Genomic DNA, 27,159 nt, shown 5'->3' on the forward strand with positions numbered 1-27,159 from the left:
CCGCCCCTCTACGGCCCCGCCAATCAGCGCGCTGGGAGGGGGCGGGGCCTTAAGTGGCGTGCGCGCCTGCGCGCTGTGCCTTGCGAGCTGCCAGTGCCCAGCAGCTGTGCCCGGAGTCCGCGCGGCTCCTTTTACTGTGCCCTGTCTCTGCCGGCCGCCTGGTGCGCGTGCGCGGGGACATGCTTTCGGACTAGTGGGGTCCTTTCCTCCGACCTTTCTCCAGCCCAAGTCTTGGGGACTCTGGCCCAGTGACTGGACCTCGACTTCCCCGCCCTCCTGGTCTCCCAGCTTCCGAGCTTTTTACGAGCGTCCAAATCTGGGGGACTTCCCCCGTGACCACCCCTTCCACGCCCCCAAGTTCCCTCCAGTAGCTTTTTTTTTTTTGAGACGGGGTCTCTGTCACCCAGGCTGGAGTGCAGAGGCGCGATCTTGGCTCACTGTAGCCTCCGCCTCCCGGGTTCAAGTTGTTATGCCTCAGCCTCCCAAGTAGCTGGTTCCACGGACGGCTAATTTTTGTAGTTTTAGTAGAGACGGGATTTCACCATGTTGGCCAGGCTGGACTCGAACTCCTTACTTCAGGTGATCAGCCCACTTCGGCCTCCCAAAGCGCTGGGATTACAGGCGTGAGCCACTGCGCCCCGTCCAGCTGCTTTTTGAACCCTCAAAATCCAGGAATCTGAGCACCCCCCCCCAGCTCCCCGACCACCCCCTGCACCTTAGTCCAGCCACCATCTCTGGCCGGGAGAGTTCCAGGACCTTCCTGCGGAATCGCCCACCCCCTGTTGTCTCCCCTTAACCCCTTCCCCAGCCAGCCAGAGGGATCCTGAAATGGAAACGGGTGGGCTGCCCCCCATCAGTTCCCCCTGACAGCGTCGCTCCCAAGGCTAGGGCTGGGCGGGCCTGCACAGGTGTTCAAGGACTGAGTCTAGCTGCTGTGCTCCCCTGCCTCCAGCTGGAGAAACTGTCCTGGTTCTAAGGACTCTTTTGTTGACATTGGGTCCACCCGATCTGGGATGCTTTCCCATCTGAAGATCTCGTCCCATTTTCAAAGTCCCTTTAGCTGCAGGTTCCAGGGAGTAGGACAGGCACATTCATTTATTGATTGATTGACTGACTGATGGAGACAGAGTCTTGCTCTGTTGCCCAGGCTCGAGTGCAATGGCGTGATCTCGGCTCACTGCAACCTCCACCTCCCGGGTTCAAGTAATTCTCCTGCCTCAGCCTCCCAAGTAGCTGGGACTACAGGCGCCCACCACCATGCCCGGCTAATTTTTTTGAATTTTTAGAAGAGATGGGATTTGACCTTGTTGGCCAGCTGGTTTCGAACTCCTGACCTCAAGTGATCCGCCCACCTCGGCCTCCCTAAGTGCTGGGGTTCCAGGTGTGAGCCACAGCGGCCGACGGAACGGGCACATTTTCGGGATGTTGTGCTGACCACAGAAGCACTGAATAAATCAGGATGGATGGGTGGATGATGGTCGGATGCCCCGCTCACCCCACCTCGTCGTGAGGTGAGGTGAGGTGTGAGACAGCCAGCTCTGTCTCCCGAGAAGCTCAGGAGCTGGTTACTGGCCTGAGACCGAGGCCCCATGGCATTGGGCTGCCATGGAAGAATCAGTGCTCCCAAGGAGACAGGAAAGTCTATGCTGTGGACTCAAAGCCAGGCAGTTACACCCCAGAACCAGCCGTGGTACCTGACTAGGGCAGCCAGAGCAAGGCCTGCCCCCATGCAAGGGAGATGATAATTATGTTTTGAGACAGGGTTTCACTTTGTTGCCTAGGCTGGAGTGCAGTGGCGTGATCTTGGCTCACTGTAACCTCCTGAGCTCAAGCAATGTGCCTGCCTCAGCCTCCCAAAGTGCTGGGATCACAGGCGCCAGCCACCACGCCCGGCTGGGAGATTATTATTATTTTTTTAATTTAATTATTTGTGTTTTTTTTGAGACGGAGTTTCGCTCTTGTTGCTCAGGCTGGAGTGCAGCGGCGCGATCTCGGCTCACTGCAGCCTCCGCCTCCCGAGTTCAAGCGATTCTCCTGCCTCAGCCTTCCAAGTAGCTGGGATTACTTGACTAGGGCAGCCAGTGCAAGGCCTGCCCCCATGCAAGGGAGATGATTATTATGGTGGCACCCGCCACCATGCCCGGCTAATTTTGTATTTTTAGTGGAGACGGGGTTTCTCCATGTTGGTCAGGCTGGTCTCAAACTCCCGACCTCAGGTGATCCGCCTGCCTTGGCCTCCCAGAGTCCTGGGATTATAGGCGTGAGCCACCGCGCCCGGCCAAGATTATTTTTAAAATTGGGCTATGATTGTGACAATGCACTCCAGCCTGGGTGGTAGAGCGAGACCTTGTCTAAAATAAGTAAGTCAATAAAATAGTCTTTAAAATGGCCAATTCCAGGCTGGGCGCAGTGGCTGCATACCAGTGTGAATGTATTAAAGCACTGCATTGCACACCTGAAAATGGTTAATTTTATGTTATGTGAATTTCACCTCAATAACAAAAAAAGTGACCCGGGACATATCATGTGCACACAGGAGCCCATTTGGAAGGGGTCACGATGGCCAAACAGAGAGGACAACTTGAGCAACAAAATTAAAGTTTATAAAGGATTTATAGTCTGTAGAAAAAATGTCATCAAGGCCGGGTGTGGTGGCTCATGCCTGTAATCCCAGCACTTTGGGAGGCCAAGGCGGGTGGATCATGAGGTCAGGAGATAGAGACCATCCTGGCTAACACGGTGAAACCCCGTGTCTACTAAAAAATACAAAAAATTAGCTGGGCTTGGTGGCGGGCGCCTGTAGTCCCAGCTACTCGGGAGGCTGAGGCAGGAGAATCGCTTGAACCTGGGAGGCAGAGGTTGCAGTGAGCTGAGATCGCGCCACTGCACTCCAGCCTGGGCGACAGATCGAGACTCTGTCTCAAAAAAAAAAAAAAGGAAAAAGAAAAAATGTCCTCGAGTGGATGCTGGTAGAAATAAATGACTGAATAAATGGCTGATGGGACCACGAGACTGCTCCTCTTTACAGTGGAGTCCAGTGACTCACTGTGGCAACAAACACAGGACCCCATCCGCCAGTCTGGCTCCTGTCACCTCCTGGGCTGGCGAGGGCCTCAGTGCCACCATGCTGAAGTCTCTGCCTTCCCTTTCGGGACTTAAGTACCAGGACAGCAGATACAGAAATAGGCAGGGGAAGCTCACTGCTACTGGGGTCTGGTAACCTACAGATTCAGGGCTCAAGTCACACAATTTCTTTTTTGAGACAGGGTCTCACTCTGCCACCCAGTCTGGAGTGCAGTGGCACAATCACGGCTCACCACAGCCTCAAACTTCTGGGCTCCAGCAATCCTCTCACTGTGGCCTCCCAAAGTACTGGGATTACAGGTGTGGGCCACTACACTTAGCCTGCAGACAATTTTTTTTTTTAAATTTTTATATATTTTTTGAGACAGAGTCTGGCTCTGTCACCCAGACTGGAGTGCAGTGGTGCGTGAGCCACCACGCACAGACCCCTGGCCAATGTTTTTTTAAAAATCAGAACAAAATCTGGCCGGGCACAGTGGCTCCCGCCTGTAATCCCAGCACTTTGGGAGGCTGAGGTGGGCAGATCACCTGAGGTCATTTCAAGACTAGCCTGGCCAACATGGCAAAACCCCATCTCTACTAAAAATACAAAAATTAGCAGGGCGTGGTGGCAGGCACCTGTAATCCCAGCTACTCGGGAGGCTGAGGCAGAAGAATCGCTTGAACCCTGAAGGCAGAGGTTGCAGTGAGCCAAGATCATGCCACTGCACTCCAACCTGGGTGACACAGTAAGATTCCATCTCCAAAAATAAATAAATAAATAGGCTTGGTGCAGTGGCTCACAGCTGTTAATCCCAGCACTTTGGGAGGCTGAGGCAGGAGAATCGCTTGAACCCAGGAGGCGGAGGTTGCAGTGAGCCAAGAGCGTGCCACGGCACTCCAGCCTGGGCGATAGAGCAAGACTGTCTTTTAAAAAAGAATAAGTAAAATAAATTTCTGTTGGTTGAGCCATGCAAAATCTGTGGTATTTTGTTATGGCAGCCCTAGCAGACTGATATAATAGCTATTTCCATCAACACACTTATGTATGCAGACAGTATGTCTAGGATTTTTTTTTTTTTTTGAGTCTCACTCTGTTGCCCAAGCTAGAGTGCAGTGGTGCAATGTCGGCTCAGAGATTGGCAAGAGCTGGAAAAAACTGGGCAGCTGTATCAGGGAGTGTGACTTTGTACCATATTCTCTTTTTATACCTGTTCATTTTTATTTTTTCATTTTTTTTCTTTTTATCAGAGACAGGGGCCTCTTTGTTGCCCAGGTTAGTACTGAACTCCTGGTTCAAGTGATGCCCCTTCCTCAGCCTCCCAAAGTGTTGGGATTGTAGGCTGAGCCACCACTCCCAGCCTGTTCATTTTTGTATCCCTAATGTGACAGTTTGAAATGTCTACCAATTCTGATATTCTTCCCTTCAAAACACAGAACCTCATTCTCCTCCCTCTGCACGTGGGCTGGGCCTGGGGGGCTTGCTTTTGATAAACAGGCTGTGGCGGAAGTGATCACGTGAGACTTCTCAGGGTGGCTCATAGAAGCACTGTGGCTTGCTCCTTCCTCTCCCTTGGTTCACCTGCTCTGGGGAAGGCAGAGGCCATGCCGTGAGGATGCTCAAGCAGCTTCGTGTAGGGGCCCCCATGGGAAGGAACTGTGGCTGTCACCGACAGCCACGTGAGGGCACTGGCTTGGAAGTGGCTCCAGCCCCAGTTGAGCCTTCCTCAGACGAAGTGGCCTTGGCTGATGTCTTAACTGCAACCTCATGAGAGACTCTGGGCCACAACCACCCAGATACATCACTCCCAAATCCCCGACTGACACAGACTGTGAGAGAGTGAATGTTCGTTGCTTTAAGCCACTACGTGTGGGTGACTTGTTAAGGCAGCAACGGATGAACACACTGCAGATACTACTTATGAGCCATTTCAAATAGGCAGTTTCTGTCAGCCATTGGAACACTCTCCTAGACTTGCAACATTCTGGAGCTGAAAGGACGCCTGGGTCACCTGTGCCACTCCAGCTACAGTCACAGTAACCAAGCCACCAGCATGATCAACATCCGGGCACGGAGCAGGTTTCAGTGAGGTTTAATGCAACGTGCATTAAAATATCCAAGCTGTTTTCAGAAACATAAGAAGCCTGAAGCTGAGCTGTGGGTTTCCTCTTGTCCATCCTGAGGCTTGGGCTGCTCCAGATGCAGCAGGTGCTGAGGTGGGAGGAGCTAGCACCACCAGGCACCTGGAGGGAGAGCAGACGAGGCAGGGTGAGTAGAAGTGTCCCTTCCAGGCTGGGTGCAGTGGCTCACGCCTCTAATCCCAGCACTTTGGGAGGCCGAGGCGGGCGCATCACCTGAGGTCAGGAGTTTGAGACCAGCTTGATTAACATGGAGAAACCCCATCTCTGCTAAAAATACAGAATTAGCCTGGTGTGGTGGCAGATGCCTGTAATCCCAGCTCCTTGGGAGGCTGAGGCAGGAGAATCGCTTGAACCCGGGAGGTGGAGGTTGCAGTGCGCCAAGATCGCGTCATTGCGCTCCAGCCTGGGCAACAAGAGCCAAACTCTGTCTCAAAAAAAAAAAAAAAAATTAGCTGCGTGTAGTGGTGGGCACCTGTAGTCCCAGCTACTTGGGAGGCTGAGGCACAAGAATCGCTTGAACCTGGAAGGCAGAGGGTGCAGTGAGCTGAGATCGCGCCACCGTATTCCAGTCTGGCAACAGAGCGAGACTCCGTCTCAAAAAAAAAGAAACGTCCCTTCCATATGAAGCTGGCTGCGGAAGTGGCCCAGGACAGCAGCCTGGCAGGAACACCAATGCAGCACAGGCCCCGGGCTCCACGCAGTAGGGAGAAACACAGACCGGAGCAGGGCTCTGAGGCCCAGGTTCAAACAGTGGCATGGCCTCAGGCCTCAGGCCAGCACCTGGAAAATGGGGGTGTAAGAGCACGGCCACGTGGGACTGTCATGTGGGCACTGGGAAGATGCCACAGGCACTGTGGTTAAGGGGGCAGCTGGCATGCTGGAGAAACACGTGGATGCGTCCAGGGCCTCACAGGCGCTTCCAAGAGCTCATGGGGTGTCCAGCCACTGTGGGCCAGCCTCCACCTTCCCCCTCTGTCTGTAACATGGGCCCCACCCAGTTCAGGCTGCAGTGCCCACTGAGACGGAAGCAAGGTTTGCCTCAAAGACTCACTGGGATTGTCCAGAGGGAGGGCGAGGCCCACACCCCAATCACACAACCCAAGGCTGCGGGGCGGACAGTTCTGTGCCCGTGGGCCGGAGATGCCAGAAGGGGCACCCAGGGCCCCACTCTCGAATGCAGGTCTCTCCAGGGGGAGCAGTGAGGGCTGCCGCCCCGGCTCTGGGAGCCTGGAGAACCCACTCTTCGGCCACCATCCGGCCATCATGCAGTCCACCCACCGCAGCCCACTGAAACTTACCAGAGCAGTCTGTGAAGGGTTTGTGTAATTAATTATCCTTCTTAAACTTGCCATTGATGTAAGGTACCCAGTCCAGGATCAGCCGCCAATCGGTGGCCCACACCAGCCCCACGGCGCCCACAGCGCCCCATGTGTAGGCCGTCGGGACCCTGCGAGAGGAGAGGGGATGGTCAGGCCTGCTCTGGACCCTTTCTCCAAGACCCTCTCCTGCCCACCCCGGCCCCCCGTCCTGAGCGGTGATGGCTGAGGTGCGGGCCTGGCACCTGTGCCCGCCCAGTGCTGTGAGCCCTGAGGGCTGGCACCAGCAGCACAGGCCCTGCCCATGCTGCCGGCTCTCAGGAAGCCAGTAACTGCTCAAGGGGCTGCTGGGGTGGGAGTGGAGCTGGGGGGAGGCTGGGCCTGGCGCATGTGTAGGTGTTTGTAAGTTTGCAACCACCATGATGATGGGTCCGGTCTGCTGCAGTCTGCAGAAATTCATCCATCCCTGCCACAGCTGCAGGACTCAGGCAGGTGCCGCCATCACAGTCCCTGTTCCCAGGCGAGGACACCAAACAACAGACAGGGCGAGGCCCTCACCTGAGGCCACACAGCTGGCGAGGATCGAGGCCTCCGGTTCCAAGCTCATGCTCTTGCCCACCACGGCACGTGCTGTGAGAGCTCCCCTGAGTTGCCTGGGCCCAGCAGATTCTAGGAAGGCCCAGCAGATTCTAGGAAGGCCCAGCAGATTCTAGGAAGGCCCAGCAAACCCGCCTGCTGGCGTTTACGCCCTCGCACAGTATGAACTTGGGCACAGGCTTCTTTTTTTTTTTTTTTTTTTTTTTGAGACGGAGTCTTGCTCTGTCACCAAGCTGGAGTGCAGTGGCGTGATCTCGGCTCACTGCAATCTCCACCTCCCGGGTTCAAGCAATTCTCCTGCCTCAGCCTCCCGAGTAGCTGGGACTACAGGCGCCCGTCACTGCGCCTGGCTAATTTTTTGCATTTTTAGTAGAGATGGGGTTTCACCGTGTTAGCCAGGATGGTCTCAATCTCCTGACCTCGTGATCCGCCCGCCTCGGCCTCCCAAAGTGCTGGGATTACAGGCGTGAGCCACCGCGCCCGGCCGGGCACAGGCTTCTAATGAGTAGAACGCAGCATGAGCAATGGGGCATCACTGCCGAGGTCAAGTGACAAAAGACTGGCTTCAGACATGGAGGCTCACAAGGGGAATCCCAGCACTTTGGGAGGTTGAGGCAGGAGGCTCACTTGAGCCTAGGAGTTTGAGACCAGCCTAGACAACAGAGTGAGACCCCATCTCTACACAAAATTAAGAAAAATTAGCCGGGTGTGGTGGCACATGCCAGTAGTCTCAGCTACTAGGAAAGCTGGGGCAGGAGGATCTCTTGAGCCCAGGAAGCAGAGGCTGTGGCTACACCAACTGCCTTCCAGCCTCGGTAAATATGAGACCATATCTCAAAAAAAATTAAAAAAGAAAAAGAGGCTGGGCGTGGTGGCTCACGCCTGTAATCCCAGCACTTTGAGAGGCTGAGGCGGGCAGATCACCTGAGGTCAGGAGTTCAAGACCAGCCTGGGAAACATGGTGAAACCCCATCTCTACTAAAAATACAAAAATTAGCCGGGCATGGTGGTGGGTGCCTGTAATCCCAGCTACTTGGGAGGCTGAGGCGGGAGAATGGCTTGAACCCAGGAGGTGGAGGTTGCAGTGAGCCAAGATTGCACCATTGCTCTCTAGCCTGGGTGACAAAGTGAGACTCCGTCTCAAAAAAAAGAAAAAGACTGGCTTCCATCCTGGGCACCTTTGTGCAACCTCTAGCTGCCTCTGGAGAAGCCAGCTGCCATGCTGTGAGATGCCCTATGAAGGGACCCATGTGGCAGAGAACTGACGGCAGCCTCCAGCTAAGAAGGAAATGAGGGCCGGGCATGGTGGCTCACGCCTGTAATCCCAGCACTTTGGGAGGGTGAGGTGGGCGGATCATGAGGTCAGGAGATAGGGACCATCCTGGCTAACATGGTAAAACCCCATTCTACTAAAAATATAAAAAATTAGCCAGGCAAGGTGGCGGGCGCCTGTAGTCCCAGCTACTTGGGAGGCTGAGGCAGGAGAATGGCATGAACCCGGGAGGCGGAGCTTGCAGTGAGCTTAGATCATGCCATTGTACTCCAGCCTGGTGACAGAGCGAGACACCGTCTCAAAAAAAAAAAAAAAAAGGAAGAAATAAATGAATCCAGCCAACAACCCCGTGAGTGATCGTGGAAACGGATCTGCCTGGTCACACCCTCGGATGAGACTGCAGCCTCACAAGAGAGCCTGAGGAGTTGACTCAGTGCACCCACTGAAACTGTGAGATAAGCAGCATTTGCTAGTTTAAGCGGCTAATTTTGGGAGACCATTTCTTATGCACACAGCACTAGATAACAATTGCAGGTCCCACTGCTGGCCAACAGAGGGCTGAAATTAAAATCCAATTCCGGGCGGGGTGCGGCGGTTCACACCTGTAATCCCAGCACTTCCGGAGGCCGAGGCGGGTGGATCACCTGAGGTCAGGAATTCTAGACCAGCCTGGCCAACATGGTGAAACCTCATCTCTACTAAAAATATAAAAACTAGCCCGGTGTGGTGGTGCGCACCTGTAGTCCCAGCTACTGGGGAGGCTGAGGCAGGAGAATCACTTGAACTCTGTAGGTCGAGGTTGCAGTGAGCCGAGATCGTGCCACTGCACTCTAGCTTGGGCGACAGTGAGACTCTGTCTCGGAAGAAAAAAAAAAATCCGATTCACCTCCCTGGATCACAGCAAATCACACAGCTGGGATGTTGGGGCGGTAGGGGGTGCTCCTCCTGGAGGCGGATGAAGAAACCCTGCCCACATTGCCCCAAGGGGCCTCACCAGAGACTCTCCAAGTGTAGGCCAGGTGCCCGCTCACCAGCTGGGGGCACGCACAGCTGCTCCTGGAACCTGGCTCGGAGGCAGATGCCACCAACAGGGCAGGAATCTTCGCACGTGTTGTCTTGATGGCATTCTGGATAAGTTATTTATTTATTTATTTATTTATTATTTATTTTGAGATAGAATCTCGCTCTGTCACCCAGGCTGGAGTGCAATGACGCAATCTCAGCTCACGGCAACCCCCGCCTCCCAGGTTCAAGTGATTCTCTTGTCTCAGCCTCCCATGAAGCTGGGATTACAGGTGTCCACTACCGCGCCCGACTAATTTTTGTATTTTTAGTAGAGACAGGGTTTCACCTTGTTGGCCAGGCTCTTCTCGAACTCCTGACCTCAAGGGATCCACCCACCTCAGCCTCTCAAGGTTCTGGGATTACACGCGTGAGCCACTGCGCCCAGCCCTGGGTTATTAATCACCAGAGAAGCCTGCTCATAAATATGCCCAGTGGGCCGGCCTCCGCCTCCCCTATCATCCTGGTCACCCCATGTAGGACCCTGTGGATTTGGACAGTGTGGGAAGAGCCCACAAAACCTGATTTCCACTAGCCACTGAGGAAGGACGTACAGACCATGACCACACTGACCAACGACCTCGTCGCCACGACAACCCCTTCCTCAAAGCAAGCCCCAGCAGGGCCTAGAAGGGGTGTGGACTGCAGGGTCCCCAGCTGGTGAACTGTGGCCCTCTCAGTCCTAAGTCTGAGACTCTGAGACACAACCCCACAGTGCCTCCTGGGGATGAGACCCGCTCCCTAGCCTCCCAAAGCCACTGCCTGGTGGCACAGCCCTGCACGGCCCCTCGCACGCACGTGTCTGCACCCCTTCCTCTCCCGCTTCGTTATTTTAGGTCAGCCCCACACCACAGGTCTCGTTTCTTTACCTTTCCTTGCCCACCAACCAGAATGTCCGCCCACAAGGGTTCGGTCTATTGGCGCGTCCCTAACACATAGTAGGTGCTCAATAAATGTTGGGCTGGGCGCAGTGGCTCATGCCTGTAATCCCAGAACTTTGGGAGGCCGAGGCAGGTGGATCACGAGGTCAGAAGATCGTGACCATCCTGGCTAACACGGTGAAACCCCATCTCCACTAAAAAATACAAAAAAAATTAGCCGGGCGTGGTGGCGGGCGCCTGTAGTCCCAGCTACTTATGGGAGGCTGAGGCAGGAGAATGGCGTGAACCCGGGAGGCGGAGCTTGCAGTGAGCCGAGATTGCGCCACTGCACTCCAGCCGGGGCGACAGAGCAAGACTCCGTCTCTAAATAAATAAATGAATAAATAAATAAATAAATGCTTGCTGTTGGATGAAAGCACGGATGACGGGTGGTCCCCGCTGTGACTGAACACAGAAGAAGCAGACCTGCTGCACCCGGGAGGGGCTGCACTGGCTACCATGGGCCACTGGGTTCTCAGCTAGGAGCAGGCTTCCTCATCCCAGGCCTGAGTTACCCACGCTGTAAAACGCCACCGGCACCATCACATTCCACTTGAAGGTCCCAGTCAGCTCCACCGTGCAGACCCTGTCCCCGACCTGTCCCCCAGTCTGGGATAGAGGAAGTATGTTCTGGCTTCCGGAGACACTGCCAATCATAAGCCTTTGCTTTTTTCTTTTTTAGAAACGGAGTTTCGCTCTTGTTGCCCAGGCTGGAATGCAATGGCACAATCTCAGCTCACCACAACCTCCACCTCCCGGGTTTGAGCGATTCTCCTGCCTCAGCCTCCCAAGTAGCTGGGATTACAGGCACGCGCCACCATACTTGGCTAATTTTGTATTTTCAGTAGAGACGGGGTTTCTCCATGTTGGTCAGGTTGGTCTCAAACTCCTGACCTCGGGTGATTCGCCCGCCTTGGCCTCCCAAAGTGTTGGGATTACAGGCGTGAGTCACTGCGCCCAGCAGCTCTAAATTTTTTTGTAGAGATAAGGTCTTGCTGTGTTGCCCAGGCTGGTCTCAAATTCCCAGGCTCAAACGATCCTCCCACCTTAGCCTCCCCAGTAGCTGGGACTACAGACAGGTGCCACCATGCCCTGATAATTTTTTGTTTTGTAGAGATGGGGTTTCATTGTGTTGTCCAGGATGGTCTTGAACTCCCAGGCTCAAGTGATTCTCCTGCCTGGGCCTCCCAAAGCACTGGGATCACAGGCCGGAGCCACTGCACCCGGCTAAGACCTTGCTGCTTTTTTTTTCTTTTCTCTTTTTGGGACACAGTCTCATTCTGTCACCCAGGCTGGAGTGCAATGGCGCAATCTCAGCTCACTGCAACCTCCTCCTCCCGGGTTCAAGCGATTCTCCTTCCTCAGCCTCCCGAGTAGCTGGGATTAGAGGCACCCGCCACCACGCCTGGCTAATTTTTGCATTTTTAGTAGAGACGCGGGTTTCACCACGTTGGCCAGGCTGGTCTCGAACTCCTGACCTCAGGTGATCCACCTGCCTCGGCCTCACAAAGCGCTGGGATCACAGGCGGGAGCCACCGCACCCAGCCAGGCCTTGCTTCTTAGCACCCCACGTGGAAACACCAGACAACCCTACGGAGGCCACCCCCAGCCCGGCTTCTATGGGGGCCACCCCTATGCCGTCCCGCTGCCCACGTGGGCTCAGGCGCAGCTGAAGCTTTCACGCTCCTTGTTAAAAATCATAAAAACCAAAATAGTGGCAAAGGCCGAAGATGCCGCGAGTGCTGGGCTGGGGATCGGGACTCGGCACCTTCTGGGCGCTTCCGTCCAGGGGGTCACCATTCGGATCCCCCGGTAGAGATGGGGAAACTGAGGCTTGGAGCGGCCTAGCCGCGGAGCCGGGCATGCTGGGGTTTGGCCTTGGGTCCGTCACGTCCCGTTCACGCCGGGACGCGCCGCTCCGCCTCTCGGCCTCAGTTTCCCCCTCTGTCACCGGGAACAACAAGGGACCTGGGCCCGGCCCGGCCCGGCCCCCGGAAACGCGCACAAATACGGAACGCAGCGGCGCGGGGCTGGGCCGAGGCGGGAGCGCGGATGGGGCCGCGGGTCGGCGTCCTCACCAGTTCTTGACCAGCTCCCGGTAGCGTGGGCCCAGGAACCGGGTCACCATCGCGGCGGAGTCGCACCCTCAGGATGACCCTGTCCAGCTGACCCGGCTACACTGCGCAGGCGCGGCCGCGGCGCGCACGCGCGCGGGGAGGGCGGGGGGGGGGGGAGGAAAAAAAAACATCATCCGCCACTGTGCGCGCAGACCCGGAAGCCACTTACAGTAACTTCCGGCGAGGGTTGGACGACCGCGGAGAAGTGGTCCGGAGTGGGCGGCGTTAGGGCGGTGCTTTCTGGCCACGTGGTCTGGCGGCCGATTGTGCTTCTGGGCTCCGCGGGGCTACCTGCCAGTGATTTTGTGCGCCTAGTATGTGCCAGAACGTTATTTACAATGAAGGAAACTGAGGTCCAGCGGGGAAGGGTCTTGCTCAGAGTCACACAGAGGGGAAGAGCTGGGATTGGAGCCCACTTTTGGAGGCGTCAGGCGTTGTTCCTGATTCGCTGTAGGACTTTGGTCGAGCGGCAGTGCTTCCCTGAGCCTCAGCGTTGCCCGTTGCTTGGAGGCCCTGTCGGAAATCTCTTTGCAGGATTCCGTTTGCGAGCCTGGGTTATTCCTCATTCCGGCAGCAGAGGGTGGCCTGGCTCCTTGCTCGGTGAACGTCTCTGGATGCTCTTAGCTGATGACAGGCAGGTCTTTCTGCCTCCTGCTTTCCACCGCACCAGGCTCGCTTGGGCTCGCCTTTCTCCAGTCCCTGCTTCCTCTGCTCTCCCACAACCCGGCGCAGCACCGTACATGCTCACTCAGCTCCCAGCTTCCAGCCTCCCCCCTGCACACCGGGCCGGTGTGGGCAGAAGGAAGAGGGGCATATTCCCAGACACCGCCATTGCACTTTTGTGCCTTTTCCCCCATATTCAAGAGTTGCCTCCCTCAGGAAGCCCTCCTGGACTGCCTGACCCACAGGCACCTTTACAGCATGAACGGAAAGGCCATAGCCTAGACGGGGCACTGGGCGTGATTTGTCTCTCGGGCGCCAGCGTCACTTGCAGGCCTCGTGATAAGGAATGGACACCGTGGGTTCTTCTGCCCAGCCTGGCCTGTCCTCCTGGGGTCAGCCCCTCAGTACACCCCAAGCCTGCAGCTCTCTGGGGACTGCGGGTGCTAACCCATCCCTATCCCTGGTTAAGGACTCAGGGTGGGAGCCGGAAATAGGTTTTGGACACCACAGTCTGGGCACTGTTTTTCTTTCTTTTTTTTTTTGAGACGGAGTCTCGCTCTGTGGCCCAGGCTGGAGTGCAATGACACGATCTCGGCTCACTGCAACCTCCGCTTCCCGGGTTCAAGCTTCTCCTGCCTCAGCCTCCCAAGTAGCTGGGACTACAGGCGTGAGCCACCACACCTGGCTAGTTTTTGTATTTTTAGTAGAGATGGGGTTTGGCCATGTTGGCCAGGCTTGTCTTGAATTCCTGACCTCAAGTGATCCGCCTCCCAAAATGCTGGGATTACAGGTGTAAGCCACCGGGCCCGGCCCTGGGCATTGTTTGTAGAACTTTCCAGTTGGCTTGGGGTTTTTGAGCTTGGGATCAGAGAGCACCTGAATAAGACTCTTCCCATTGGTGGAAACTTAAAAAAGTGGGATGCAGGGGCTGACACAGAGACTATTAAGAGAAAGGACAGGAACACAAGGGCTGCTGGAATGTCAGCCCAGAGTTTCCAGATGCCACAATGTAAGAGTTCACCAGTGGCCGGGCACGGTGGCTCACGCCTATAATCCCAGCACTTTGGGAGGTTGAGGCGGGCAGATCACCTGAGACTGGGAGTTCGAGACCAGCGTGACCAACATGGAGAAACCCCATCTCTACTAAAAATACAAAATTAACCGGACATGGTGACGGATGCCTGTAATTCCAGCTACTCGGGAGGCTGAGGCAGGAAAATTGCTTGAAAACCCGGGAGGCAGAGGTTGCGGTGAGCCGAGATCACGCCATTGCACTGCAGCCTGGGCAACAAGAGTGAAACTCCGTCTCAAAACAAACAGACAAAAAAAAGAGTTCATCAGAGACAGTGACATAAACAAGAGCTGAGAGATGGAGAGAGATTTGTAATGACACCTGGATCCAGCTGTGCCTGAAGCCATTCAACATGACATAGAACTTCCTTTTTGTTTCTTGAGCCGGTTTTTGTTATTTTGTTGGACCATCTGGATGTCCCCTCCACCCTTTTTTTTTGAAACGGAGTCTTGCTGTCGCCCAGGCTGCAGGCTGGAGTGTAGTGGTATGATCTTGGCTCACTGCAAGCTCCGCCTCCCAGGTTCACGCCATTCTCCTGCCTCAGCCTACCGAGTAGCTGGGACTACAGGTGCCCGCCACCACGCCTGGCTAATTTTTTGTATTTTTAGTAGAGATGGGGTTTCACCGTTAGCCAGGATGGTCTCGATCTCCTGACCTCGTGATCCGCCCGCCTTGGCCTCCCAAAGTGCTGGGATTACAGGCATGAGCCACTGCACCTGGCCCACCCTTTTTTTTTGACAGGTTCTGGCTCTGTTGCCCAGGCTGGAGTGCAGTGGTGCAATCACAGTTCACTGCCACCTCAAGCGATCCTCCCACCTGAACCTCCTAAGTAGCTGGGACTACAAGTGTGTGTCACCAGGTACAACCAATTTAATTTTGATTTTTTGAGACAGTCTCGCTCTGTCGCCCAGGCTAGAGTGCAGTGGTGCAATCTCAGCTCACTGCAATCCCTGCCTCCTGGGTTCAAGCTATTCTCCTGCCTCAGCCTCCCAAATAGCTGGGATTACAGGCTTGCGCCACCATGCCCGGCTAATTTTTGTATTTTTAGTAGAGATGGGATTTCGCCATGTTGGCCAGGCCGGTCTCGAACTCCTGACCTCAAGTGATCCACCCGCCACAGCCTCCCAAAGTGCTGGGATGACAGGCGTTAGCCACCGCGCCCGGCCAATGTATATTTTAAAAGTTGTTTTCCAGCATGAATTTAGAGGCCAGCTGGGTAGAGTGGTGGACAGGGCTCCCTCAGCACCTTCTGTCAACTCCTGGCCACTCTCTTTCCCTTAAAAATTATAGACATGGGGTCTCACTATGTTGCCCAGGCTGGACTGGAACTCCTGGCCTCAGGCGATCCTCCCGCCTCAGCCACCTGAAGTGCTGGGATTACAGATATGAGTCACTGTGCTGAGCCTTCTCCTCCCTAAGGCACTTGTGTGCCAAAGGGCTCTCTCCTGGGGGCCACCCCCCGTCAAGTGGCCAGGAAGGCACTCCTTCCACCCCAACCCTGTAGGGGAGCAGGGCAGTCCAGCTGTGTCCTCGCAGAGATGCAGCGGCCAAGTCCCTGGGCACAGCAGCAGATGCCTGCCAGTGGGCACTTTGGGATGAGCAGCGCCCCCACAGGTCCTGCCACACCCCTTCCCCCCGAGAGCTCTGTCCGTGGGTTCCGTGGGCATCCGGTTGTGGAGGAAGTCACAGATGCCGCACTAAGGAGTGTGGGGTTGACGCTGCCAGCAACGGAGCCGTGGAAGGTTTCAGAGGAGCAGTGACAGACTCAGACTTCGAGCCGACTTCGGAGCAGGAAGGGGCAGGGAAGTGGGTTCCAACAGCCCGGGGGGGGGACGTTGGGAGATGGGGAGCCCTCCCAGATGGGGGCTGGGAGGACCGCAGGTCCTGGATGGTTCCTACGCGCCCAAGTGCAGCCCCCAGGGAGCTGCTTTTCCCCGGGAGCCAATCCTGCTTCCAGGTGGCCTGGAGCCCTGAGTACACATGCAGGTTCCCAGCCGCCCTGGGAGCCATGGGCTCCTCAGAGTGAGGAGTCGCTTCGAGGAAGCCCAGTGCACAGGGTGGACCACGGTCCTTGCTGCACCCGAGGTGAACGTCAGGGCCCCCCCCCACTTCCCTTCCTAAACATGTGACACCAGAAAGAACCCGGGGACTGCAGGGCATCGTTATAAAATGTCACGTTTATTGCTACAGTGCTGTTATATACAGGACAGGTCTCTGAATCCACCTGAAAGAGGGTCGTTTTAAAGTCCCAATCATCCAGCCAGCTGTGTTGACACGTATACAATTATTTTCTTTAAAAAAATTTTTTTGAAAACCATCTTGAGGCACTCAGATCACACCCCCCACCCCCCATAATTGTGGTTCCCAGGAACTGCTGTTTCTTCCTCCTCGCGCTGGGTGAATCTCGTTTGAATTCTATGCAGAACGCACAGTTCCAGAGGCTATGGGGCCACTGCCCACCCAGACCTAGGGGCAGGGCCAGGAGCAAAACAAGAGGGAGAGGCAAGTTCCCTTAAGAGATCAAACTCCCAGGGCGTAGGGGAAGCCACCGAGAAGGGAGAGGCAGCCGGACAGCCCCTCCCCTCCGCCTGGCCTGGACTGGGGGCAGATACCAGGCATTGAGCTGGCCTTGAGGTTTCCCTTGCATCTACCATGGGGCCCAGGCTCCCAAGCCAGTCTGGGGAGGGGAGTCAGGCAGTCCAGGATCTCCTGGGGGTAACGGTGGGAGTCTCAGGAGTGGCACGGGGGGAGACGCCCGACCTGCAGCGGGGATGAACACAGCCAGCCCAGGGGTCCACAAGGCCTCAATGCAGGGAGGGGCATGAAGGGCACATGAAGGCCCCCAGCTAGCCAGGCCCACACCTGGGTGCCACAGTGACCACTGCCCTAGTTCGTGTGGAACTGGATGGGATCCCAGGGTAGGAGACTTGCAGTTTTAAACCCAAGACAGTCCCCAGCCAGCTGGGAAGAGCTGGTTACCCTCATGGCAAAAGACCAGAAAAGGAGACCTGGAGAGAGGCCTGGGTGCTGGGACATGGGACACAGATGGGCCCGAGGGGACACCCTGCTGGTTCTGCAGCAGGGTCGGACGCACAGCCCAAGGCCTTCGTGGGGCTCAGACCAGCACAGTCCCCCGGCTCCAGCCACTCTTGCCCTTGGACCACACAGAGGGAGGGCAGCAGGTGTGGCCCCAGGCCCAGGGATGCTCCCCAGCATTGGGGGAGGCTGGCCAGGCCCCTGGCATCCTGTCTACGTCACGATGGCCCTCTGGTGTAATGGGGACATGGTGGGGTGGGGTGGGGGGTGTCCTGTGCTGGCTCCTGAGCAGCATCCTCTCAGCCAGAGTTCAGAGCATGAGCCTGGGTCCCTGGGGCAAAGGAGTGAAGGACAGGGTGTCCAGGAGGTCCCCAGCACCGGGCTCCAGGGTGTGGTCCCCATGCCAGGGGTCACTGGTCCCAACAAAATGCCCCATTTCAGAGAGCTGTGCAGGTTCCAAGGGAGAGCAGCTTAGGGGGGCCTGGGGAGGGCGTTGTGTAGGGTAGCCCTGGGGGCCACAGCTGCTTGGCAGAGTCACCTGGGAGGGTCAGAGCCACCTTGCTGACGTCCCTTCCCCCAAGCCCAGGTCAGTCCCCTTCCTGAGGGGAGAGGATGCGGCAGGGAAGCCCCAAGGTGCCTTCATCAGGGAACGCCCACGCATCACTTTCCACATGACAAAACCAAGAGAACCCCCAACATCAAAAAAACAAAAGACCCGCCGCCTGTCCCCGTTCTGTCTGTGTGCAGTGGCTTCCGGGGGGGGGGGGGGACGGGGGGGCTCAGGTTTACACGGGGTCTTTTTAATACAACGTTTAATCATCTGGTTGATCAAGAAATGCAATGCTCAGTCTAGGAACAGCAGCAGAAATAGCGAGAGACACGGGACTTTTATACAAAAAAATTTGTTGCTTACAAAACATATGCAAAAAAAGCTTAAAAAAACCAGAGACCAAAGGCAGCATCCTTGCTAATTTTCATCTACATTAAGAAAAAAAAAATCTTGTAACTAATGTTTTTATTTTCCTTAAAAAAAATATTTCGCTTAGGCACAATTTGCTGGTGGCTTTAGAAGAATAAGCCAGGTTTCCACAGCATCCCCCTTGAGTGATATGTTTCCATTTCTCCGCTTTTTATAGTTAAGGCATTTTTTTCTTCTCTGACAAAGTGTATGTTTTGTTGCTTGCTTTCAGGTTTTGTTTACTGGAAAAAAAAAAAATGCTCCTGTCAGCCCAGGCAACAGGGCCAAGATGCAGTTTCAGGATCCATGGGACAGGTCACAGAGTGACACGGTGGCTGAGATTCGGGGACAGGGGGAGCGAGGCCAGTGAGTGGTAGGCCAGGGCCCCAGGGAGCTCCTGGACCCAGTGTCACCTTGGCCGCCCCCATCACTCCGAACCTTGTCAGGTTGGTGTTGGCTCGATGCTGACAACAGGTGTGTGAGGTGTGGATGTGGATGAAGCCCGGGGTCTCGAGTGGCCGTTCTGGGGCCAGAGCACAGGGCTGAAAGCGGGTGGCTCGTCCCACGGAGGCATACCTTTCACATGTGCCCGGCGGGGTTGTGGGCTTCGCTCAGGCCTGGGTGGGGAGCTGAAAGCACCATCTGGGGGTCTCCAACCACACCTGACACCTTTTCCTCTTCTCGCCGTTTCAAACAGGCTGCTTTGGGATTCAGGTTCCGCTCTGGAGGGAGGGGGGAGAGCTCTGTGGGAGACGGTCCCAGGGAGGAGAAAGATGTGAGGTGGGAGTGGGGGGTAGGATGTCGGGGGGGGGGGTGGGGGCAGAGCCCCATCACGTGTGGCCTCCTGTATTTCCGGCTCTCACCTCCTTCCTTGAGAAGGCTGGGGGGATGGGGTGGAGGCTTGTAAAGAAGAGAGTGGGTATCAGGGGGTGTCTGGGGAACATCACTGGGTCTGAGTCCAGCCACAAAGACAGACATGGACAGAGTCCGGGGGCGGCAAGCACAGGAGGACCCCAGCATCTGCACCTGGGTGTGGGGAAGGGAGAGGGTGCTGGGGCAGCCCTGGCCGGGGAGCCTACCTCGCACCTGCTGCTCCAGCCCCAGGATGACCTGCACGGCCTGCTGCAGGATGAGCAGCTTGGTCTGCGCTTTGTCCGACTTGAGGTGCATCTGGCACATGCGCCCCAGCTCCCGGAAGGCCTCGTTAATATCCCGCACGCGCACCCGCTCCCGCGCGTTATTGGCCATGCGCCTCTCCCGGTCCCTCAGGTCTTTCTCCTCCAGGGACAGCACCTCGTCCGTACTGCTGGGTCACAGCACCGAGGCCTCTGTTAGTGATGCGCCAAGGCTGGGTGGGAGGGCAGGGCTGGGTTGTGGAGAGGGTATCCAGCTACTTGTGTTTGTGCTGGTGTGGGCAGCAGTGTGGGTACACGGCTGGTGTTGGTGGGCACAGCAGTGTGGGCAGCAGTGCAGGTACATGGCTTACATTGGTGGGCACAGCAGTGTGGGTACACGGCTGGTGTTGGTGTGGGCAGCAGTGCAGGTACACGGCTGGTGTTGGTGTGGGCAGCAGTGCGGGTACACGGCTGGTGTGGGTGTGGGCAGCAGTGCGGGTACACGGCTTACGTTGGTGGACACAGCAGTGTGGGTACACGGCTGGTGTTGGTGTGGGCAGCAGTGCAGTTACACAGCTGGTGTCAGGCACTGCAGTGCAGGTACACGGCTGGTGTCGGGCACAGCAATGCAGGTACATGGCTGGTGTGGGTGTGGACAGCAGTGGGGGTACACGGCTGGTGTGGGCAGCAGTGCGGGTACACAGCTTACGTTGCTGGGCACAGCAATGTGGGTACATGGCTGGTGCTGCTGTGGGCAGCAGTGCAGTTACACAGCTGGTGTCAGGCACTGCAGTGTAGGTACACGGCTGGTGTCGGGCACAGCAATGCAGGTACATGGCTGGTGTGGGTGTGGACAGCAGTGGGGGTACACGGCTGGTGTTGGTGTGGGCAGCAGTACGGGTCCACATGCTGATGTGTGTGTTGTCACATGCGTGAAAATGTGCTTCTCTGTGCACGCGGCGAATGTGCTCCCTGGAATGCAGCAGAGCCCCATGGTGGGGCGCCTGTGTGTGTACGCGACTGGCTGCCCAGGTGCAAGTGCCCTCAGACTCAGCTCTAGGGGAGGCTGTGGATGTGGTCACACCCAGGAAGACCCAAGGTCTGACTGTTCCCAGACGTTTCTGTGGAGGGAGATGGGGCCCTGCTTCCCCGTCTGGGAGCCCACAGGGTAACTGCTTCTCCCTTGACCCTGCTCACTCTGTGGGCCCCAGGGCAGGGCTGGGGGCAGGGGAGGCCCAGTGCCTGCTCCTCTCTTTGTTCTTCCCTCCCAAGATGATGACTTTCCCTGCTCAGAGCAGCCACTTGCGGGGTGATGGACAGCTAGGCCTGGCCAGACTCACTGTGGACAGAGGAGGCCTTGAAGACACGGGCTCAGCAGGCAAATACCTGGGCCACTCCAAAAACCCGGGACTGGGGAGTCCAGGACTCAAATCAGGGCTCACATGGAGCAAACCAGCTCCCATCCCCCGAGACCCCCACACCCTGGGGAGGAGCCTCAGAAATGCACCCGTCCCCTACAGTGAACTCCGGCTGCCCCAAGATGAGCCCTCCCTGAGCTCCTGCCCCTGGCTGGGAAGGCCAGCTCCCTAGGCCTCCAGGAACCCCATTGTCACTGCCACCGTGAATGGTCGCAGTAGGAGCTCTGAGGTTCCAAGAGCCTGTTCTGTGCCAGGCCCAAGGCTGAGCCCCCTCTCCAGCCGAGCAGCATGCAGCTGGCGAGCGGGCACTGTTGCTGCTGCCGCAGGGGTGCGGGTCCCGGCCCAGGCCTCTGTGCTGCATGGCCCTGCATGGGTGACCTCGCTCTGTTCCCTGGCTTCCTACTTGGTAGAATGGATGCCGGTCCCCATCAGGGCACCCACTGCTCTAGGTTGTGGTGAAGATGAAATGGGTGAAGGTCTGGCCCAGTGCCCAGCATGCCTGGTGCCCTGTCTTAGTCTCTAGGGGGCTGCCTCACCCACTTGCCTGCCCACCCTGCCTTAGGGGCCTGAGGGGATCCCTCCAGGTGGTGGGGGCGGCCCCTGGAGCCCAGGACAAGCGCACAGACCAAACTGACAGGACCAGGGGCTGCGTGCTCCCGGGTCTGGTTTCTTCCCGCAAGCCCTGACGGGGGGCTTTGGGGGAGGAAACGCCCTGAGGTTGCAGCCCAGCCGCTCCCGGTGCTCGGGCAGCAAGTGCGAGGTGAGGAGGGGCTGCCACGGGAAGCAGAGGGACGGACGGGCGGGATGGAGGGGAGGGCGGAAGGCAGACAGCAGAGAGGCGGGCTTGGGGGGCGCGAGGCGTGCCACACACGGCTGCAGAGACTCGGAAACCTTAGAGCTGAGGGGATAGCGTGTGGGCCGGGCCGGGGCTCTGGCTCCGGTCCCAGCAACAGTGCTGCAGGAGAGAAAGGGTTAACGGGGTGCAGGCGAGGAAAGGAAGGAGTTAAGGAAGCAGCCGCCAGCGCCAGCGGGGGGAAGGAGTCAGCTCACATCTGCGGGTGGGGACAGGGTCTGTCTGTATCCTTCCTCCCCCTGGCCCTGGGAAATGGGGGTGATAGGAAGTTTCCCTATCACCTTCAGATAGGGAAACTGAGTCAGAGACAGGGGATGGGCTCATGTGGCCTTGCGTGGCATCTGCCTGACGGGAAGGGGCCAGGGTGGTTTGCACACCAGCTCCTGTCTCTGGGATCGGGGGACACTGGCCTCTGTGAGCTGGGTTCTGGGCTTCCCAAGAAAGGAGGACCACGGCGAGTGGGAGCCCCGTGGAGCTGGGAGATACAGTTCTGAGCCACAGAGCCCAGGCCTGAAGGACTAGGGGTCCAGAAAGAGTCCAGTCCTCCCACTGTGGAGGGGATGCTGAGGCAGGCAGGGAGAAGGGCTGGCAGTCAGGAGTGGACAGTCATGGCAATGCGGTCAGAGGGGTGAAGGGCACAGTCACTGCAAGGAGGCAACTGCTGCAGAGGGAGGGCTGGCTCCAGGAAGGCGGGCGGGGAAGGAGAACGAGGGCAGGAACACGAGGGAGGGTGGCGCTGCAGGGACGCTGGTGGCCCGCGCCCCCACTGACCTCGCACTTGCTGCTCCAAGTTCAGGATGACCGAGACAGCCTGGTGCAGGATGAGCAGTTTGGTCTGGGGCTTCTCGCTGTTGAGGTGCAGTTGGCACATGCGCCCCAGCTCCTTAAAGGCCTCGTTGATGTCACGGACCCGCAGCCGCTCCCGGGCGTTATTGGCCACCCGGCGCTCCTTCTCCCGCTCGGCCTTCTGCTCTGGGGGGAGAAGGTCGTCCTCGTCCTCGTCTGGGCTATGGGGAGGGCGCCGGGAGGGGGCCAGAGGGAGACAGTGAGGTTGGGGGAAGAGCGTGGGGCCCGCCGACGGCCTCCCAGTGTGGGTGCGGTGTGCGTGTGGCCTGTGCACATGTGCGTCCTGATGGGGTGAGGGTGGGGAGTGCCGAGGGGTGGGTTGGCACCTGGTCCGGGCCCGGGGGGCCTTCAGCTCCTTCTTCTCCTCCTCCGAGTGGTCAGCCGCTGACGTGTTCTCCTCGTCCTCCTTCTCCTCCCGCTTGATCTCGCTGGCGGCCGCCGTGGCACCTGCTCGCCCTAGCCCTGCAACAGGCCTAGGGTCAGGGGCCTGCGTCGGCCTCCAGGGCCAACTGACATATCTCTTTGTGCTCCTGTGGTGAGGGACTTGGGCTTTCCTGGAAAAACCAGGTCTTGGCCAAAAATAAAAACAAAAAACCAACAACCAGAACTGGATCCCTACCTCACGCCATGTGTAGCTACCAATGCCAGACAGATTAAGGACCACAAGATGAAAGGGAAACAGTTTTACCACCTTTGGAACAAAGTGTGTAGAAATTCTGCAGCAACTCAATGGCAGGAATCTACTAAGATGCTAAAAGAACACTCTTCTTTTTTGGTGAAAGTAAACTGTTTCAATCATTAACTTAAAAATATGGAACACTTCGGATGGGCACAGTGGCTCACACCAGCTCACACCTGTAATGCCAGCATTTTGGGAGGCCGAGGTGGGTGGATCACGAGGTCAGGAGATCAAGACCATCCTGGCTAACATGGTGAAACCCCATCTCTACTAAAAATACAAAAAATTAGCCAGCTGTGGTGGTGGGTACCTGTAATCCCAGCTACTTGGGAGGCTGAGGCAGGAGAATCACTTGAACCCAGGAGGCGGAGGTTGCAGTGAGCCAAGATTGCGCCACTGTACTCCAGCCTGGGTGACAAAGCAAGACTCCGTCTCAAAAAAAAAAAAAAGAATAAAACTTTGGAACACTTCAGGAATGTCCACGTCACCCTTGTGCAGATGCTATGCTAATCTTTATCATTCTCATTTTAGTCCAAGAGCTGTCCAAGCAAGTGCTCAAAGCGCTGCTTTTGAAAGAACACAGGCCGGGCACAGTGGCTGACTCACGCCTGTGATCCCAGCACTTTGGGAGGCTGAGGTGGAAGGGTCACTTGAGGCCAGGGGGTCATGGCTACCGTGAGCTGTGATCATGCCCCTGCACTCTGGTGTGACAGGGTGAGACCCTGTCTCAAAACAAAACAAGTAAAAAAGAAAAAACAAAAATCAGTAAGCTGGACTATATCAGAATTGAGAGTTCCTGATCAGCAAAGATACCAGGAAAAGAAAAGCATTTGCCAAAGAATAGAAGACACCCACCACAGATGTAGCCAACCAGGAGGTGATCTCCCACAATCAATGGGAAAGGACAAAAAGAAAGTAACTCAGTAGAAAAATAAGCAAGGTATCCAAAAAGGCATCTCACAGACAAGGAAACCACATGGCTAGAAACACGTGGAAGTCCGCTTCAGCACATCAAGAGATTAAGGAAATGCAAATTAGGGTGGCTTTGCGCTACCCTTTCATACCCAGTCAGCTAGCAAAGTTGAGGGACCTGAACAGTCAAAATCTTGCCTGTGGGAGGGCAACTTGGCTGCTTTGGAAAATAATTCATCAGCCTTTCCTCTGAATTGACAACAGGTGTATCACACCCTTGATCAGCAGGTTGGCAGGAAAGCGTGATGTTGGAATGACCTACAGCCCCACGCCCGGGCCAGGGCCAACGGCACACTCACAATGGGACCCCAGCCGCTCACACCACACATGTACCCCACACACAACATAAGCCAGCAAACCAGCGTGTAAAGAACACGCTAGTGGGACGCCGTGTTCATGAAGCTCAAGAACAATAATTGCAAAACATGTGGCTTAAGGGTACACAGTGCCCCAAATGAATGCGGCCACTCTGCATTCAGCAGGGCCTGGGCCACCCCCAAAACCCGGGCTTGGGGAGTCCAGGAATCAGTCAGGGCTCACATGGAGCAAACCAGCTGCCATCCCCTGAGACCCCCGTACCCTGAGGGGGAGCCTCAGAAATGCACCCGCTCCCCACAGTGAACTCTGCTCCAATCGGCCAACGCCAGCCACCAGGACCAGCCCAGGCCTCAGCACACGAAGTGAAGGACAGGAAGGAAACAGAGGGGAGCCTATGGGTGAAAGACTAAGCTTGGGGCTGCCCCTGGAAACTGCTGACCTGTGGGTCCGGACCCTTCTCTGGGGTGGGGCCGTCCTGGGCACTGCAGGGTGCTGAGCAGCATCCCTGGCCCCCACCCACTCCATGCCAGGAGCTCCCCTCAGCCCTGACAACTGTAGATGTCCCCAGACATCACCCAGTGTCCCCTGGGGGCAGAGCCGCTGCGGTGAGATGCCCTGGCCTAGGAGTGATAGAATCAAGGTACTTGGAAAGTCTGCCTGGAAAGCAGGCAGGATTCCTGGGCTGGTGGAAGGCACAGGGCCAGGACAGCGCCCACAATGACCCCACCTTCTCCTGGGCCTCTCATGGGTGTCTGAGACACTCAACAATCCCCAGGCCCAGGTCCAGATTTGTCCCCAACCTTTTCCTTTGTCCCCTTCCTTACGGAGTTCCCAGCCCCAGTGTCACCCACAGCTCGGGCCAGAAATCCCAGAGCCACCCTGCCTTCTCTCACCCTCAAGTCCTGTCCATCACAAATCCTGTGGGCCCCGCCTTCAGGAGATGCAGGGCCCACCCACTGCTCACCCCTCCAAGGCCCCTGGACCAGCCCTGTGGCCTCTGCCTTGGTCTCCCGGTGCCACTCATAGTCTGTCCTCCAAGCAGCCACCAGAGGGTATCTGTGAGCACCTGGGTCAGGTCCCATCCCTCCTCAGCCCTCCACGGCTGCCACCTTTCTCATGGCCAAATCCCAAGTCCTCCCCGCAGCCCACAAGGCCCCGCATGACCTGCCCTGCCCCGCCCTCCCCCCTTCCCTCTCTCCCTCTCCTCACTCTGCTCCAACCCCACGGGTCTCCTGGCTGTTCCTCCCAGGTGCAGTCCAGCCCCAGGGCCTTTGCCTGGGCTGCGCCCTCTGCCTGAAACCCTCCTCCTCCAGGTACTTGCCTACTCTTGCCTCCTCCCAGATGCTGCCCAAACACCACCTTGTGGCCTCATGGGCCACCATCTTCAAAGCCATACAAAACCCCCAACCCACCGCAGCCACTTCGTTCCTTCTCCCTGGCACCTGTACTGTGCAGCGAGCTCCTGGTCTGTCTCCCCTGAGGCAGAGGCATCCTGCTGCACCCCTCGCCCCTTCCCCAGTGCTGAGCGCTGCCAGGCACACAGCGTCTGGGAGCAGGCGAATGAAGAGGCAGCCCAGAGCTGTCCACCTCACACGCCCAGGGCCAACGCCGGCCCCGCCGGTCTTACCCACCCTCCTGAAGTTGCTGACTGGGGCGCCCATGTCACCAGGTGCCCCCACGGTGACACCTGCCCTGGGCTCCCACCCTGACCCCCACCACTAGAGTGCCTCAGTTTCCCCAACTGGAACCAGGAGTCGGACAGTCCCAAGCTCAAGGGCTTACCACTGTAGGAGTCGGGAGGCCGAGACAGGTCAGGGAGGGTGCCTGGCTGGCTGGGGAGGGCCGCGTGGTTGTGCATGAGGCTGGTGCTGCCTGCGAGGCCGTCCTCGGGGTGGCTGCCTCCAACCTGCAGGCGTGGGGAGACGGGTGCATCAGGGGGAGCCGGGTCCCCGCCCACTGCCCAGCTCCACCCTCGCCCAGCGCTCACCAGGCCTGCGTGCCGCCCGCCCAGTGACATGGGGCCGGTGAAACCTGAGGCCAGCGCCCCGTGGCCAGGCAGCAGCGTGTGCATGTCGCCGGCTGTGCCCACGGCGTGGCTGCGGAGCACGTGGATGGCCTCGTCCAGGTGGTCTTCTATCTTACTCTGCTGCAGGGTGGGGGGATGGGTGGTGAGGGGCCCAAGCCGAGGGACCCCACAGGCCTCCATTCATGTCCCTTCCGCATGCAAGTGGCCGGTGGTCCCATCTTCCCCTTCCCCAGGAAGCTGCATATGCCAGGCATCTGGCGCCCGGGAGCACACACAAAATGTGTGTGCCTTGGCGGCCACGAGGCCTCAATAACAGCTTGGGGCTTATTTACAAGAAACTAACAAAAAGGTTTCTCCTTCTCAAGGAGCGTCTGTCCTGCAAATTCTGTCGGGGAAGGGTGGGGTGGGGCGGGGCAGGCACTCACCAGGCCGTGGAGACCCCCGTCGTAGCTGGGCGATAAGGCACCGGGGGCTCCTGCTCGAGGCCACTGTGACGTTCCTGGAAGGGAGTGGGGACGTGAATGGGGTGCGAGGGGCGGGGTGTGAGCATGGCCTGATGCCCATGGGGAGGGATTCATGAACCACCCCGCCTGTCCAGCCTCCGGTGATGCCCAAGATGGCCATTCCGGGGCACCCCACACTGATGCAAAGCTGCTCGGCCCCGCCAGGCAGGGATGCTGGGTGCCCAGTGGGTACTGCCATTCCTATCTCTG

The 27,159-nt window shown here is 57.3% G+C and overlaps 2 protein-coding genes and 1 pseudogene across 51 annotated transcripts in view, besides 8 other annotated features; all 3 read right to left on the bottom strand.

Annotated features, from left to right (window-relative positions):
- Nucleotides 28–97: a silencer, noted in NCBI's record as "silent region_9733". NCBI's record gives its function as "represses an Ori minimal core promoter by ATAC-STARR-seq in GM12878 lymphoblastoid cells {active_cell/tissue: GM12878}" and the evidence as "EXISTENCE:reporter gene assay evidence [ECO:0000049][PMID:35858748]".
- Nucleotides 348–397: an enhancer, noted in NCBI's record as "active region_13615". NCBI's record gives its function as "activates an Ori minimal core promoter by ATAC-STARR-seq in GM12878 lymphoblastoid cells {active_cell/tissue: GM12878}" and the evidence as "EXISTENCE:reporter gene assay evidence [ECO:0000049][PMID:35858748]".
- On the bottom strand, nt 4,261–12,554 carry UQCR11 (ubiquinol-cytochrome c reductase, complex III subunit XI). The gene is made up of 3 exons (NM_006830.4): nt 12,452–12,554; nt 6,504–6,652; nt 4,261–5,307 (listed from the first exon to the last, which is right to left on the bottom strand). The coding sequence occupies exons 1-2, from the start codon at nt 12,499–12,501 to the stop codon at nt 6,532–6,534; spliced, it is 171 nt and encodes a 56-aa protein (NP_006821.1). The 5' UTR covers nt 12,502–12,554; the 3' UTR covers nt 4,261–5,307; nt 6,504–6,531.
- Nucleotides 12,305–12,374: a silencer, noted in NCBI's record as "silent region_9734". NCBI's record gives its function as "represses an Ori minimal core promoter by ATAC-STARR-seq in GM12878 lymphoblastoid cells {active_cell/tissue: GM12878}" and the evidence as "EXISTENCE:reporter gene assay evidence [ECO:0000049][PMID:35858748]".
- Nucleotides 12,425–12,684: a silencer, noted in NCBI's record as "silent region_9735". NCBI's record gives its function as "represses an Ori minimal core promoter by ATAC-STARR-seq in GM12878 lymphoblastoid cells {active_cell/tissue: GM12878}" and the evidence as "EXISTENCE:reporter gene assay evidence [ECO:0000049][PMID:35858748]".
- Nucleotides 12,745–13,054: an enhancer, noted in NCBI's record as "active region_13616". NCBI's record gives its function as "activates an Ori minimal core promoter by ATAC-STARR-seq in GM12878 lymphoblastoid cells {active_cell/tissue: GM12878}" and the evidence as "EXISTENCE:reporter gene assay evidence [ECO:0000049][PMID:35858748]".
- Nucleotides 13,510–14,131: an enhancer, noted in NCBI's record as "H3K27ac-H3K4me1 hESC enhancer chr19:1606417-1607038 (GRCh37/hg19 assembly coordinates)". NCBI's record gives its function as "activates a minimal SCP1, AML or CMV promoter by ChIP-STARR-seq in primed H9 embryonic stem cells {active_cell/tissue: H9 hESC(primed)}" and the evidence as "EXISTENCE:reporter gene assay evidence [ECO:0000049][PMID:30033119]".
- Nucleotides 15,614–15,663: an enhancer, noted in NCBI's record as "active region_13617". NCBI's record gives its function as "activates an Ori minimal core promoter by ATAC-STARR-seq in GM12878 lymphoblastoid cells {active_cell/tissue: GM12878}" and the evidence as "EXISTENCE:reporter gene assay evidence [ECO:0000049][PMID:35858748]".
- Nucleotides 15,694–15,763: an enhancer, noted in NCBI's record as "active region_13618". NCBI's record gives its function as "activates an Ori minimal core promoter by ATAC-STARR-seq in GM12878 lymphoblastoid cells {active_cell/tissue: GM12878}" and the evidence as "EXISTENCE:reporter gene assay evidence [ECO:0000049][PMID:35858748]".
- Nucleotides 16,384–27,159, bottom strand: part of TCF3 (transcription factor 3) — a 43,324-nt gene continuing 32,548 nt past the window's right edge. For 5 of the 50 annotated variants that reach the window (XM_047439297.1, NM_001136139.4, XM_006722855.5 and 2 more), the window contains 7 exons: nt 26,872–26,945; nt 26,408–26,566; nt 26,203–26,326; nt 22,778–22,913; nt 19,299–19,525; nt 18,796–18,941; nt 16,384–18,461 (listed from right to left, as the gene is read on the bottom strand). In XM_047439297.1, the coding sequence (XP_047295253.1) occupies nt 18,799–18,941; nt 19,299–19,525; nt 22,778–22,913; nt 26,203–26,326; nt 26,408–26,566; nt 26,872–26,945 (863 nt within the window). In that variant the 3' untranslated portion in view covers nt 16,384–18,461; nt 18,796–18,798. Of the gene's footprint in view, nt 18,942–19,298; nt 19,526–22,376; nt 22,613–22,777; nt 22,914–26,202; nt 26,327–26,407; nt 26,567–26,871; nt 26,946–27,159 lie in introns of all 50 variants that reach the window. The other 45 variants (XM_047439294.1, XM_017027181.2, XM_047439295.1 and 42 more) reach the window with 20 other exon arrangements.
- RNU6-1223P (RNA, U6 small nuclear 1223, pseudogene) lies at nt 23,584–23,687 on the bottom strand (annotated as a pseudogene).

Source organism: Homo sapiens, chromosome 19 (genome assembly GCF_000001405.40).
Source record: "Homo sapiens chromosome 19, GRCh38.p14 Primary Assembly".
Classification (NCBI taxonomy): Eukaryota; Metazoa; Chordata; class Mammalia; order Primates; family Hominidae; genus Homo; species Homo sapiens.